The sequence below is a fragment of the Homo sapiens genome, chromosome 1 (assembly GCF_000001405.40).
Source record: "Homo sapiens chromosome 1, GRCh38.p14 Primary Assembly".
NCBI classification, from domain to species: domain Eukaryota; kingdom Metazoa; phylum Chordata; class Mammalia; order Primates; family Hominidae; genus Homo; species Homo sapiens.
This window is the reverse complement of record NC_000001.11, coordinates 62,534,308-62,549,779: the sequence shown is the minus strand read 5'-3', so window position 1 is coordinate 62,549,779 and position 15,472 is coordinate 62,534,308. Positions and strand designations below refer to the sequence as shown.

Below are 15,472 nucleotides of genomic sequence, written 5' to 3'. Positions count from 1 at the left end.
AATAATTAGAAAGAGTGCATAAGATCTAGTATTTGATAGCACAACAGGGTGATTTGTATAATTAAATAGGTAAATACTGTTTATTATTTAGTTATTTAAAAATAACTAGAAGTGTATATATAATTTGATTCTTTGTATCACAAAGGATAAATGCTTGGGGTGATGGATACCCCACTCATCCTGATGTGATTAGTACACATGATACATCTTTATCAAAATATTTCATGTAAACCATAAATACATATGTCTACTATGTACCCACAAAATTAAATAAAAATAAAAATTATAGTAATTATTCTCTAGTATTTCAACTGCTACCTTACTTGCTATTTCTGTGCTACCTTTCATAGTAGAATTCCTTAAGAATTTTCTTTACTTGCTATCTGCAGTTCTTTTACTTCTATCATCTCTACTTCAGTCAAATATTCCTCCCATTTTCCACCAAAACTGTCCTTGTTAGTGTCACCAGCACCCTTCATGTTGCTAAATCCAGTGGTTAATTTTCAGAACTCGGCTTACTTTTACCTACCAGCAGCTTTTCACACAGTTAAATTTTTTTTTCCTCTGTGATTTATTCATTTATTTGGCTTCCAGGGTACTACATTCTGTTAGTTTCCCTCTTGGTTTACTGATTATACCTTTTCAGTCTTTGTGGATTCTTCCTTTTCTGATCTCTTTATCTGGATGTGTTTCAGGCCTCTGTCCTTATTTCTCTTCTCTTGTCTTCTCTCTACACTCTACCTTGGTCAGCTTATCAGGTTCCATGGCTTTAAATACCACGTAAATGTTATGCTAATGATTCCCAAAATTATATTTCCAGTACAGATCTCTCTCTGGAGTTCTAAACTTAACTGCTTTTTCTAAATAGTTTTGTTCAGATTTGGATATATATGAAAGGTAGAGACACTTCTTTCCATCTCCATTGCTACCATCTTGGTCTGAGCAACCATCATCTCTCCCAGAACTAATGTACTAGTTTTAAAGATGGTTTCCCTACTTCTACCCTGTGCTCTGTTCACAACATAGCAACCAGAATGTTGCTTTAAAGACTTAAGACATGGCTGGGCGTGGTGGCTCACGCCCATAATCCCAGCAGTTTGGGAGGCTGAGGCAGGTGGATCACCTGAGGTTGGGAGTTCGAGACCAGCCTGACCAACATGGAGAAACCCCGTCTCTACTAAAAATAGAAAAATTAGCTGGGTGTGGTGGTGCATGCCTGTAATCCTAGCTACTCAGGAGGCTGAGGCAGGAGAATCACTTGAACCCAGGAGGCGGAGGTTGTGGTGAGCCAAGATCGCGCCATTGCACTCCAGCCTGGGCAACAGAGCTAGACTCTGTCTCAAAAAAAAAAAAAAAGACTTAAGACACACACAAAAATTAAGTCATTATGTCATTCCTCTGAGCACAATCTTCTAATGGCTTATTCTCTCAGTCCTTTAAGTCTTTACTCTGAAGGCCGCCTTCTCAGTGAGGTTGACTCTGATTATCTTATTTAAATGTATAACCAGTGGCTGTGTCCTCAGCCTTCTAATCCTGTTATTCTGTTTTTTGTCTTTTTTTTTTTGTCTGACATTTACTACCTTTTAATGTAGCATATGAATTAATTATTCTTATGTTGATTTTTTTTTAGTGTTTATCTCCCTTTAACAGAGTGTAAGCTTCATTGTGGCAGGGAATATTTGTTCCAAGGCACCTGTAATGTCTAACTTATTCAAGGTGCTCAGTAGATATTTATCCAATGAAGAAATGTTAGTATGAGTTAACACCGCAGGACTAGATCACTTGTTTAAGAACAGAATTATGCTTTTGTTTGCCCTCTTACTATTGGGATTAATTATGTATTTAAAGGTCTGCAGAGATTTGACTTTATGAAAGTTTTGGTTATATTTTATTCCCCAGTATAAAATACAGAACTCCTAAAATTTAAGAATATTTATATAACCTGAACAGGCTTTTATTACTCCAGTGGCTGTAATGTAAATGTGAAAATATTTGTGAGACTTCTTCATACTTATATTGCCAAAACTAGCTGTGCTTTCTTAATTCTAGTAATCGTCTTTTAACATTCAGTTATGTAAATACATGGTTACATCAGGTCTGAACTTTATTGCTTTTTATCAAATGCCAGTGGAATTTTGCACTGATACGTTTCTTTCTCATATATCATCTTTTTTTAATTTCTCAAACACTGAGAGCTTACTGTGTGCTAGGCACTATGCTGAGGACTTGTGGATATGAAGTAAAATCTTTGTAATATAACACAAGTGTTGATGTCACATCAAATACAGTATGGGCCTTGCTCAAGGATCTTATCTATATGTAAGGGAAGAAATCAATAGTGTTACTGGGATTTGGCAAAAAAAACCTCACACTTACATACACGTGGGCACACATTTGGTTAATCTGTTCCATGTTTGTTGGAAATTGGTAAACATAAAGTTATTATATTAAATATAAGTGATGAGTTTGCTTAAATGTGGGCTGTTTGATATAACTCTTAGCTTTATAACACCTGAATTATGGAATTTACTTGCTTTGCCAAATAACTGGCCACAAGTTTTCTTTAAATAGTTAGCTTTGACTAGTGTAATTACAACTGTTCAGAACATCAGTATTGTGTATATAAATATAATTCATAGCACAAAGAGATTTTTTTATTCTCATATTAGCGATTATCATATATTGTAGTTTTAAAGGAAATTATTAAACAGTAAGTTAAGTAAATTTAAGAGTACAGCAAAGTTCTTATTCTTTTTGTGGAAATTCATGAGAGAAAAGAGGACAGTTATAATTTTGCAAAAATCAAATGCTCATGTTTTGTTATTTTTGTAACATGAGTAGTGACTGTAAAAATTGAATATGGTAGGAAGAACTTTACACTTTTATACAAAAAAGACATAATTTTGGGCTTGGACATAATTTTGGAGACTAATGAGAACTTTATTTTAACTTCTATGAAAAACATAAGCCTTTTGGTTTGCTTTTATTCGAAATATTGTAATGGGATTCTGAGAAGGCAGATATTTTATTTTAAACAAATCTGATTGCATAATCTTACTAGTATTTTGATATTGTCTAATTTACTTTGATAGAAAGCATTTTAAGAAAAATATGTATGGGAAATTTTTATAAAGCTGTTTTTGAGAGTTTACTATATTCAAGGCATTGAACTTAGTAATTTACTTCCATTATTTAATTTGATTCTTACCATGTGAAGGGAGACACTCTCATCATTTTTATTTTATAGTTAAGAAACTGAAAAAGAAATTAAGTAATTTATCTTAGATTTTACAGCTAGTAAGCAGGAGAGCCTGGATTGGAACCTTAACTCCCATATTAGACAGTCACTGTCAAAAATGATTAGAAATGGGTGATTATTTTACCACCATTTCAATTTCTCTATATATTTGGGAAAAAATGAAAAAAGGTGGAGGAAATATTCTCCTGAAACCTAAGCCCTTGAGGGTTGCGGTTTTTCTTTCTTTTCTTTTTAAAATTTTCTCTTGAAGTATTTAAAAAATACTGATGTCTGGGCCGCACTCACAGCAATTCTGATTTAATTGTTTTAAGGTAGGGCGCTGCACATTTGTTAGTTACTGTTGTTGTTAAGCTTCCCAAATGACACTAATATCTAGACAGAGTTGATTACAGTTGTTCCAACTCTTCACTTTTACCTGTCTTTCCTTTGGTGGTTTCTGGTTTGGGTCTGTACTCATGTCCTGATATGTTTACATCAGCTTGTCTTCGATTGTCTTTGCTATTCTTACCCTAATAATTCTTTAAAAATCTTTTACAACTTGCTCCAGTTCCAATTATTAGATTCTCAAGTCCCCAGTCCAAATTACTGAATCGAATTTATAGAGATAGAGCCCAGGATCTGAATTTTATAAAGCTTCTCAATTGATTCTGACCAACAGTCAGTTTTAGGAAATAGAAGAAAAGCCTCTGTTTCCTTCACCTGGAATCACAGTAACCCCTTTCAGACAGAGATAAACATAAATTAACTTCTGGACATATACTTTAGTAGCGTTTTAAAGAAATTTTAAATTAATGAAGATGATGATGAAGATATAATTCCTATAAACAGCCCCAGCATAATGTTTTTCCTTATAATATTTATTAATAAATAGTAGCCCATTATTATTATAAGTGCAGCTCCAAATCCATTATTAGGAAGGAGTAAATATTAGGTATCATTTTTTTCTTAAGTTTTTACTTTATTTCTCCTGTCTGTCCCTAAAAGAGAGTGAAGGTGGTAGCAAGCTCAAATAGAATTATGGGGTATCACTGCATAGTAGTTTTCAGTTGATGAGAGATGGAATGAAATTAAAGTTTATAACAAAGAATGGAGTGTTTTTCTTCCATTTTTTCCTTTAAACCTCAGTTAGATACAGAGGAAATTACCTGTTGCTAACTTGTACTATCTTTAAAGAAAGTTTGGGGGTGTGGTGCTGTGGGAACATTAGTTATTGGTACTTCAAGAGTATTCCTTTACATAAAGAAAAATTACCTTTAAATACTATACTTAATGGTCTTGGTGATTTTTTTTAAAATTGTGTTATATAATAAGATAATTTTGATGAACTAATACTCTATAGGTGCCTACAAATTTTGGTTGCTTTAACAGTACTAATTAAAAACATGTTTGCATTAGAAGATCTGAATTTCTTTAAGAATAATTTATAGCATGCAACATGTAATATTTCTTTCCTTTCAAACTGCTTTCTATTATATGCTTAGGGTTTAGATCGCTCCAATTCCTGGGTTAACACTGGTGGTCCAAAAGCTGCCCCATGGGGATCCAACCCCAGTCCAAGTGCAGAATCAACACAGGTGGTGTTTATATTAGAGGTTTCTTTATTGGCTGCTGATGTTTCCCTTTAGAACATTACTTTTTAGTATATACTATGATTTCAGTGGCTTGCTTTTTTTAATCATTAAAAAGTGTGTATTTTTGTTTACTTAGCACATTTTCCAACTACTATGCATGAGTACCACCAATTGCACCAGTAATGTTCTTCTTTCCTATTTCCTATCTCTGTCTTCTTTCTTCCTTACACACCCTATCAATATTTCAGTGCCTGCTGCTTATGCAATTGATGGCTTTTATAACAGTTTCTTCTTTAGGGGTAGCACGTCTTTAATAGCAATTTTTAAATTTTTTACGTGGAGGAAAAAACCCAACAGTTTTCTATTTGCTTTTGGTTTAAAGTGTAACTATTGTATCATTTTCATTTAACATTTACTATCTTGTTATTTTCTTCCTAATCACCGAATAGAAAGACTGGCAATAAGTTGAAATTGAATGTGAACAGTATATGATCCCCGTGCTATAAGACTCAATACCAGAAGCAAAAATCCATTTTAATTTGTACTGTGTTGCAAAGTATGAAATTTGTTATACCTTAGCTGAATTAGGTTTTGCTTACTTAAGACTAGTTGCTTGATAGCTAATACTGCATGATATCTCAAAATATACTTCTCATCTGTGTTGGCTTTGGAGGGAAATCCTGTTCCTAAATAAAATTTTTAATTCCATTTCTAATATTGTAAATGATTTATATTTGATTTAGTATATGACAAACCTGAATAGTAGTTTTTGATAATAATGAAAAAGTGAAAGAAATTATTCTAAACTTTTTCTTTTCTTTAATATAAAGTTACTGATTTCTTTTTTGGTCTGAGACCAGTTGAGAAGTATGTTTTTACTTTTTATATATTTTTACTAGATATGTGCATGTATATAGATCACACAGATAAAAGTTTCATTCTTTGCAACACTCTGAATATTATATAATCACTGAAATACTCATCATTTTTTAAAGACCAAAAATATATAGAAGCCATTTTGATACTACTTATGCATTGTCATTAAAGCAGCTTAACATGGTGAAAATGAGATGAGCAATAAAATAGATGGTTTTTGAAACCATAATAAAACTCTGTTTTAAACTTGTACATAATCCATCAGCTGCAAAGTCATCCACTGCAAACGTTAATGTTATCTCGTCATTCATTCATCTTCACTCCATAGGCTATGGATCGAAGTTGTAATCGTATGTCTTCGCACACAGAGACGTCAAGTTTCTTACAAACATTAACGGGACGCTTACCAACTAAAAAGGTAGATTCATATGAAGACAATTCATAGAGGGGGAAAATAATTTCACCAATTAAATAGATGTAAGATTTCTTTACATAACCAGTATGAGATACTTACAGTAATTGCATTGTGCTTAAAAATATATCTGAACAAGCATTGCTTGTCTGATGCCTTTTGGGGCATATCTTGTCAATGTATACTTTTTTACATTATGATAATGTTTATATCTTTGGGATTGACTATTTTTAGGATTTAGTGAATTCAAATTTGATCATCAAATTTTAGTACCAAAAAAATGTATCAACTCTTAATTCTGTTTCTGTAACTGCTTCTGTTTTGTGTTTTAAATCTCCAGGGAAAGGAAGATGAGTTAGAAAAATTGTCACTCTTAGTAAGATATGTTGATTTGCTTCCCTTATGCACAGTTTTGTTAGTCCTTTTTCATATTAATATACACTACTTTGCAAATGCTTTGTATGCATATCCATTATAAGGCAGAAATCTTCTGCTATTTTTTTTTAAAAAGACCTTACCTGAAAACTTGAAAATTAATGGCTCATAGCAAAGTTTAAATTTTAAAATGTATTTCCTAAATTGTACCAGCAAAGTTCATGCATGTATTTGCGTATGTTTAAAAATGTACTTAAGATACAAACAAAATATTACTGTACTATAAGTTTTTAGTCTAGTTTCTGTTTGCAGGTACAATTTAGGAGGCTATCTTCTACCTGTCCTTTTAAAATTACATTTTACTGCAAGATAACATGTAATTTTTTCAGCTGTTCCACATACCACTGTCTTACATACATAAATAGCCGTTTCGTTAATGGGTGTCTTCAGTGCATCATTGAATGGTTCACGTGCCTTATTTTGCTTATTCTCATTATATCTTCGTTTGTATTTGCATTATGATTTGGTTTATGTTATCAGCAGATTTGACTTTGATAATAACTTTGGATTTACTTCTGGATAGCTTTTTCACGAGGAGCTGGCTTTGCAGTGGGTTGTTTGCAGTGGCAGCGTTCGGGAATCAGCTTTGCAACAAGCCTGGTTCTTTTTTGAATTAATGGTGAGCAAAAACTGAGCATGTTCTTTAATATTTTTTCTCTTAGTGAACAATTTTATGCTAGCTCATTTGTTACCTTAGAAATCTTTTTCTGTTGCACATCTTAACGCTTTTCCATGTGCCTCTAAGACAAAATTACATGTGTTACATCTCTAAATAAACACTGTGGACACTCAACACAGTTTAGGTGGAATTAAGAGTGAGGCTCATTTTAACTCTTATTTTCTCAGGGATGGTTGCATAAGCTAGCTATATTTTCAAAGGAAACTTGTGATACATTCTTTGCTAGTCATTATACATGAAGTGTATAATGACAGTATTGTAGATTTTATACCAAAGATGGAAAGAGCTTTATAGATACCCACTGCTATTGTTATGGCTAGTAAACCCTTAGGGAAATGCCAGTTACAATCAATAAAAAAACAACAGTACTGGCTGGGTGCAGTGGCTCACACCTGTAATCTCAGCACTTTAGAAGGCCGAGGCAGGAGGATCACTTGAGATCAGGAGTTTGAGACCAGCCTGGGCAACATAGCAAGAGCCCATATCTACCAAAAAAATTTTTTTTTAAATTAGCTAAACCTGGTGGCACAAACCTGTAGTTCCATCTACTTGGAAGGCTGAGGAGGGAGGCTTGCTTGAGCCCAGAAGTTCAAGGCTGCAGTCAGCTATGATCACCACTGCACTCCGCATGGATAACAGAGCAAGATCCTGTCTCTTTAAATTTTTTAAGTACTTTTTGCTTAATCAAATAAGTGACACTTTTAAAATGAGTGAATTAATATTTCAATTAATAAATACATATATATGAACAGTTGACCCTTGAACAACTTGGGGTTTAGGGGAACCGACTCCCCCACACAGTCAAAATCTGCATATAACTTCTGACTCACCTAAAACTTAACTACTAATAGCCTACTGCTGACCAGATGCCTTACTGGTAACATAATCATATTTTGTATGTTATTCATATTATATACTGTGTTCTTAGAATAAGCTAGCGAAAAGAAAATGTTATTAAGAAAATTATAAGGAAGTTAAAATATATTTGCTCTTCATTAATTGGAAGTGGATCATCATAAATGTCTCCATCCTCATTGTCTTCACATTGAATAGGCTGAAGAGGAGGGGTTGGTTTTGCTGTCTCAGGAGTGGCAGAGGTGGGAGAAAACCTACATATAAGTGGACTCATGCAGTTCAAACCCATGCTGTTCAAGGGTCACCTGTACATATAAACTTGTATATGTAAACACACACATATGTAAACAAAGGCAACAAACATTACAAACATTTATCAAGTGGGCACAATATGCCAGTACTGCCCTGTGGCCTAGGTATTACTAAGGCACAGAGAAGTTAAGTAACTTGTCTTAGAATGCACAGCTTGTAGGTAGCAGGACTGTAATTAAAACTCAGGCATTTCAGCACTTGGGACCGTCTTCTTCACCTTCGTCTTCAGCCTCTATAAAGCTGAAATCACTGAAACTTTTTCTTCCAAAAAAGAAGTATGTAAAAAAATATAAAACAAAACAACAAAAAAGAGAAAAGGATCTTCCAGAGTATGTCATAGGGTGGTCCTCAGCATTGAATGTTACCTATATTATGGGTAAGAAAACATTTCTTCTAGAGATTTAATAATCTACAGAAAAAATAAATCAGGGACTATATATAAGTGACAATTCATTTTTTTCCTAGAAAATAAACCTTAAATTCGTAATTCATGTACATCTCTGCTCCTGTAAGGTAAAAATTGTAATTTTCACCGTTTTTTAGTAGTCTTACATATATGTTCAGGTTTCTAAAATACAAAATAGTCAAAAGACTGCAATTTAAAACTTGGCTGTGCTCTATATTAAGTTTAGGACTTTAGCTTCAATTTCCCTGAATTTAAAGTTTAAAATTCTTTGTTACCATTACCACAGTGTTATAATAAAGAATCTGCACAATATTCAGTACAAATACAATACAATATAGTCCTCATATTTATTGTATTCCCACTATATGCTATCATCTGTGTATTAGCTACTGAGGACACTATAGTGAAGACAGGGTTTCTAACCTTTCAAAGCTTAGAATTTGGGAGCTTTGGAATGGCAAAATTATTGAGTCTTGGAAAAATTTAATTAAACTTTTTTTGGCTGGATGTGATAGATTACATGCCTGTAATCCCAACATTTTGAGAGGCCGAGGCAGAGGAAACACTTGAGGCCAGGAGTTTGAGACCAGCCTGGGCAACACAGCCAGACCCTGTCTCTATAAAATTTTTAAAATTAGCTGGGCATGGTAGTGTGCACCTGTAGTCCTAGCTACTCAGGAGGCTGAGGCAGGCAAATCACATGAGCCCAGGAGTTGGAGGCTGCAGTGAGCTGTGATCATGCCACTGTACTCCAGCCTGTGTGACAGAGTGAGACCCTGTTTTTTTATTGGAAAAAAAAAAAAAATTTAAAGGTTGAAATTTTTTTTTGTTGACATACACAGAATTTTTTTGTCCTATTGTTAGCTAGCATAATTTTCTGAAAGTAATATGGTGGTTTTTTTATTTTATTTTAAGCAAATACAAAACATTGTAGGGAACTTTAAAAAATATTTGAGAAGCTAAAAATATTTCAGTCATCTATTAAATTACATGCCATATTTTAAAAATAGTCCAAGTGTTTAGAGTTGTTGTAATTGTTAAATATATTCATAGGAAATTAATAATTTATATCTTTTTTTCAGGTAAAGAGCATGGTGCACCATTTATACTTTAATGATAAACTTGAGGCTCCAAGGAAAAGTCGTTTTCCAGAACGTTTCATGGATGACATTGCAGCTCTTGTCAGCACGATTGCTAGTGATATAGTTTCACGATTTCAGAAGGTAATGATAACTTTTTCCCCACTTATCTCTCTTTCAAGCTCAGATTAAGCTATCATACTTTAATTTGTTTTTGTTTTATATTCTGTTTCACAGGACACAGAAATGGTTGAGAGACTCAATACAAGCCTTGCATTCTTTCTCAATGATCTGTTGTCTGTTATGGACAGAGGATTTGTTTTTAGCCTTATAAAGTCCTGCTATAAACAGGTAATGCATAGTTAGGAATAATTAGTAATCAAATAATTTAAATACTATGTTAGTTCTTTTCAAAGTTAGAGCTAAGAGACCTTAAGAGCACATTTATATACTGATGTTAAAACAAAAAGTAGCCAAAGTAACATATTTTTATTAGCAAGGCAAAAGTAAATTACACATGTTTTATCAGGACACAAGGACTGTGGCAAGCTGTTATCAGTACAGCCAGTATTTCCTTGAGTTATACTGGCCTACTCATGACTCTTTAATCCTCATTCTGGATCATACTATCAAGTCAGTAGTAATGTAAAGCAGTCTCAAGATGTCATGCAAGTGGAGCATTTATACCGAGTGGACTTCTGTATCTTGAGTGATTTTTAAAGCAACTGCATTTTGCTGGGTATTCCTCCTAATCCAGCCCTGGACATTGTAGAGTTTGGAATTATGGATGTTTACCCATTTGCCATATGTTCATTATCTTGACTTTACGAAATTAAAAGCATCCTGGAACTTTTCCAAACATAGCTGATTTTGTTTTAAAATTTTTATCAACTGATTAGTGAAGTCTGCCTTCTAGAAAACATTAGTTATTGGTTCTGCTGGGCCACTTTGGTAGTAAACTGTATAAGCCTTTCAGAATTACCTTTTAAAGGAGCTTTAAAAATATACATATTTCTGAGTCCCATCCCAGAATTATTGAGAAGTTCAAACTTATGGTGGTGGGGATGAGGAGCACACAGTGCTTGTGAAGCACCTCACAACTGGTCTACAGATTAGTTTTAGGGAACTAATAGTCCAGAATTCTATTTGGCAGTCTAATATTTAGAATTTTGAATATTCTATTGGATGCCTTTATTGTTTATTTCTTCTAATAGAAAAGTTAAAACTATGCATGGGCACTCACCCACATGGAAATACTTGCAACACGATATGTATCATTTTTACCTTTCCCCCAAAACTTTATGTACTATTGCTACCAGAACTTGTCCTGTCTTTATTCTTTAAGCATTGATCTCCTATATTTGTCAAACATTGAGCTAAGCTGTAGGGACACTAAAGCTGTTAAATCAGTTTATAGTATGTCTCCTCAAGTAGCTTATGATGTTGCTGAGAAAACAGACAAATTATAAATACAGGTAAGCACAAAGTGCTATAAAAAGAATTGATAATTTCTTTTAAGAAGGAAGTAATAAGAAGTTATTTTTGGTGATATACGTTTTCCCTGTTTTATGAGAAGTAGAAATATTGATGCTATATTGGAAATACAAGAATGTGGCTTTTAGGTTAGTCAAATATGTTTATACAGTAAACCTGATAGTTTAAAATTTTTAATTTTAGCAGTAACTCTGGAAAAAGGTGATACTGCTACTTAAGCCACAAAACCCAAACTGGATACCAAGTACTATCTCTTTAATTCTAATTTGCCATTCTGGTATTAGTATTAAAGAAATAATAGATTCAATTGGTGTTCTCTTACTTATGCATTGCTTACAAGGTGTCTTCAAAGCTTTACTCATTACCGAATCCCAGTGTTCTGGTGTCCTTGAGGCTGGATTTTCTACGAATCATCTGCAGTCATGAGCACTATGTTACATTAAACTTACCCTGCAGCTTACTTACTCCACCTGCATCTCCATCACCTTCTGTTTCTTCTGCAACATCTCAGGTATGCAAATTGTGTGAATATACATATATTTAAAGTCACTTTTGTGAAGAATAGTTTTAAACAATGGAAAAAATAACACTTATTGAATAACAGCTGTATGATAGGCTCAGTTCTTAGTGCTTTGTAAGTATTAAAAGTCATTTAATCCTCAGAATAACTCTAAAAAGGCAAGTTCTGTTATTATACCCATTTTGCAGGTTAGAAAAACAGAAACACAGAAAGGTCACTGAGTAAAAAGTGGCAGAGCCAGGTTTTGAACCAAGGCTTTATTTTAGAGCCCAAGTTCTTTTTTTTTTTTTTTTTTTGAGACAGAGTCTTGCTGTTTCTCCCAGGCTGGAGTGCAGTGGTGCGATCTCGGCTCACTGCAACTTCCGCCTCTGGGGTTCAAGCGATTCTCCTGCTTCAGCCTCCTGAGTAGCTGGGACTACAGACGTGCGCCACTATGCCCAGCTAATTTTTGTATTTTTAGTAGAGACGGGGTTTCACCATGTTGGTTGTCCAGGATGGTCTCAATCTCTTGACCTCTTGATCTGCCGGCCTCGGCCTCTCAAAAGTGCTGGGATTACAGGCATGAACCACCGCTCCCGGCCGAGCCCAAGTTCTTAACCACTGTTTTATATTCCTTTCATAGACTTAATGCACATGTGAATGAATTCACCTAAATAAACTTACTAATTAAGATGTTTTCACAAATTGAGTTCTCTTGAAGCAGACACCAAGAATGAGTTTCAAATGCAAGATGTGTTTTAGAGATCAATACCTGTGAAAGGAAGTGGGGGATGAAGCATAATTGAACAGAGAAAGAAGTCAAACTGCAGTGGAGGCATGACAAAGCCCTGCTTAACTCTCTTGTATCCAGAAACCCCAAAGGAAACCAGATGAAAATTGATGGGTTTTTCAGTGGGTGGCACTTGACTTCAACAGCTAGTAGGTTCTCTGTAGATGAAAAAGTGTTATTGTAGCAGTTAATATGTATGTCCTCTTTTATAAATTGAGATGAAGAGATTTTGTGGTTTTAGTATCAGAGAAGCCTATATTTTCCTTTGTCCAGTGAAATACTCGTTCTACTGTATTATTCCTGAGGCAAGGAGGCTACTTTTTTTAAGCTCTTAATTTCTAAAGTGAAAGTTAGTTAATCTTAATACTTCTTAATTTTGTTTTCAATATATTTAATTCCTGAATAGGATTCTGTAGGTGATATCTCATATGCGTGATTTAAAAAACAAAATTTAAACTTCAGCTAGAAAGACTAGAAAACATCAAAGAGTACCCACAACTTTTCATTTTATCTCTGTAAAAAAATCTTCTGGATCAGCCTATTTTTCCACAAACTCTTCAGTCTGGCTAGCATGCCCTTAATCTAATGGATGAGGCTGGCCTTTTTCTTTCTTTCCCTGTCCTCTGCCAAAGATGTAGCTACACAAAGACAGATTAATCATAAATATGGTTGCTAACACCCTTAAGGAAACATATTTGTTTATATCTAATTCCTTACTGAACATCTCTTTCAGCCAGGAAATGCTCATAGAATTTCTTCTGTTATCTTGTTGCCCACTTTCTCAGCTAGCTATGTAATTTTCAGATTCTTTCAGATAACAGAGACATCACTCTTTTTTGAAAGGCTAAGAAGAGTTTTATATTCTTATTAGGAGAAGATTTCGCCATAGAGAAATGTGAAATCTATTGTTGCACTAAGAAACCCCACATGAGTCCTGAATATGGACTGTATCTTGGAGAATGCTATAATATTTTGAAGTATTAAGATGTTAAAAAAAAAACTCAGACAACAAAATGATGGTAATTTTCCAGAGATAGTATATTCTGTGAAAAACAATTGTACTGGTGTTTCGAATTTCTCTGGAAACCAATAGCCTTGACTATGAATATTTCTCTTGTACTTTGGGGTAAGTGCATACTATGTCATTTGGATTTAGTTGCTTCTTTTTTCCATCAGAGTGTGGTATTGAAAAGTGGCTAAGAGAATAAAGGGGAAAATATGTAGGAAAGTATATGTGAAAAAAGAAATGTAAAATAATTAAATTTTCAATGATTAATTTCTATAATAAAGTAATTAACTTAATAAAGCAATCTCATCATAGTTTCCTGTCCCAAAAGTCTGAAAAGTTGCTTTGTCTTCAGTGTTAGTAATATAAAATAAACTACCCTGGGAAAAAGTATTTCATTTCTTATATTGCTCTGTCTGTAGGATGCTTTGTTGCACTGCTGTTATAGTCTTGTTCTGCCTCACTTTCCAACAGAGTTCTGGATTTTCTACGAATGTACAAGACCAAAAGATTGCAAATATGTTTGAATTATCCGTGCCTTTCCGCCAACAGCATTATTTGGCAGGACTTGTGTTAACAGAGCTGGCTGTCATTTTAGACCCTGATGCTGAAGGGTGAGTACACTAGTTTTTACCTTGTAGAATATGAGTTTGATTTTGAACAGTGGACAGAAGTATTCCACTCACATTTCCTGAGGATTAGGAGAATAATCTTTCACACTCTTTTTCTACTTCCCTCTTCACTAAGTTTCTCACTTATATTATTTATCTGTTTAATCAGTTTTATGAAAGACTTTTTCTCATATTTTGTCACCTCTGAATTTGGGATTTGTCTTAAAATTGGTGGCGTATCATAATTCATTTAGTAGTGTTCTTTTTCTTCTTAATAATATATAAAATAAATTATGCATATTAGTAGATAGATTTTTTGATGTAAAGTAAATGCTTGTCATTTGAGGAAAATGGTCTTTTATTTGATTCCTTGTCAGGAAAATTTATCTTTTTTTGTGTGTTTGTTTGAGGCAGAGTCTTGCTCTGTCACCCGGGCTGGAGTGCAGTGGCAGGATCTCAGCTCACTGCAACCTCTGCCTTCTGGGTTCAAGCAATTCTCCTGCCTCAGCCTCCCAAAGCTGGGACTACAGGCACACGTCACCACACCCAGCTAATTTTTCTTTTTGTAGTAGAGATGGGGTTTCACCATGTTGTCCAGGCTGGTCTCAAACTCCTGACCTCAAGTGATCACCACCTCAGCCTCCCAAAGTGCTGGGATTACAGGTGTGAGCCACTGCACCTGGCCAAAAATTTATAATTTGCCATCATACTATGTAGCATTTTATTTCAAAAATTGCCCTATAAACAAATATCTTTAGGTTTTAAAAACTTCCAAAGTTGTGTACATTATTAAAGGATGTTTGGAAATTGATGTAGTTAGAAAAGTATATTGTCTGATGATGTGATTTTTGTTTGTTTGTTTGTTTTGTTTTTTTGAGAATAGGTCTCACTCTGTCACCCTCACCCAGGGTGGACAACAGTGGCATGATTTCAGCCTGCTGTAACCTCTGCCTCCCAGGCTCAAGCAATTCTTCTGCCTCAGCCTTCTGAGTAGTTGGGACTACAGGCGCGTGCCACCACTCCCGGCTAATTTTTGTAATTTTAGTAGAAATGGGGTTTTGCCATGTTGGCCAGGCTGGTCTCCCAACTCCTGGCCTCGAGTGATCAGCCCGCCTCGGCCTCCCAGCATGCTAGGATTACAGGCGTGAGCCACTGCACCGACCTAATGATTTGAATTTATAGAAGTAG

General features: G+C 34.4%; 1 protein-coding gene across 14 annotated transcripts in view; it reads left to right on the top strand.

Moving 5' to 3' along the window:
* DOCK7 (dedicator of cytokinesis 7) overlaps positions 1–15,472 on the top strand; it is a 233,661-nt gene that overhangs the window by 138,607 nt on the left and 79,582 nt on the right. For 8 of the 14 annotated variants that reach the window (XM_047432964.1, NM_001271999.2, NM_001330614.2 and 5 more), the window contains exons 23-29: positions 4,741–4,833; positions 6,035–6,124; positions 7,077–7,172; positions 9,888–10,028; positions 10,122–10,235; positions 11,719–11,889; positions 14,148–14,287. In XM_047432964.1, the coding sequence (XP_047288920.1) occupies positions 4,741–4,833; positions 6,035–6,124; positions 7,077–7,172; positions 9,888–10,028; positions 10,122–10,235; positions 11,719–11,889; positions 14,148–14,287 (845 nt within the window). The remainder of the gene's footprint in view (positions 1–4,740; positions 4,834–6,034; positions 6,125–7,076; positions 7,173–9,887; positions 10,029–10,121; positions 10,236–11,718; positions 11,890–14,147; positions 14,288–15,472) is intronic. The other 6 variants (XM_047432967.1, NM_001272001.2, NM_001272000.2 and 3 more) reach the window with 1 other exon arrangement.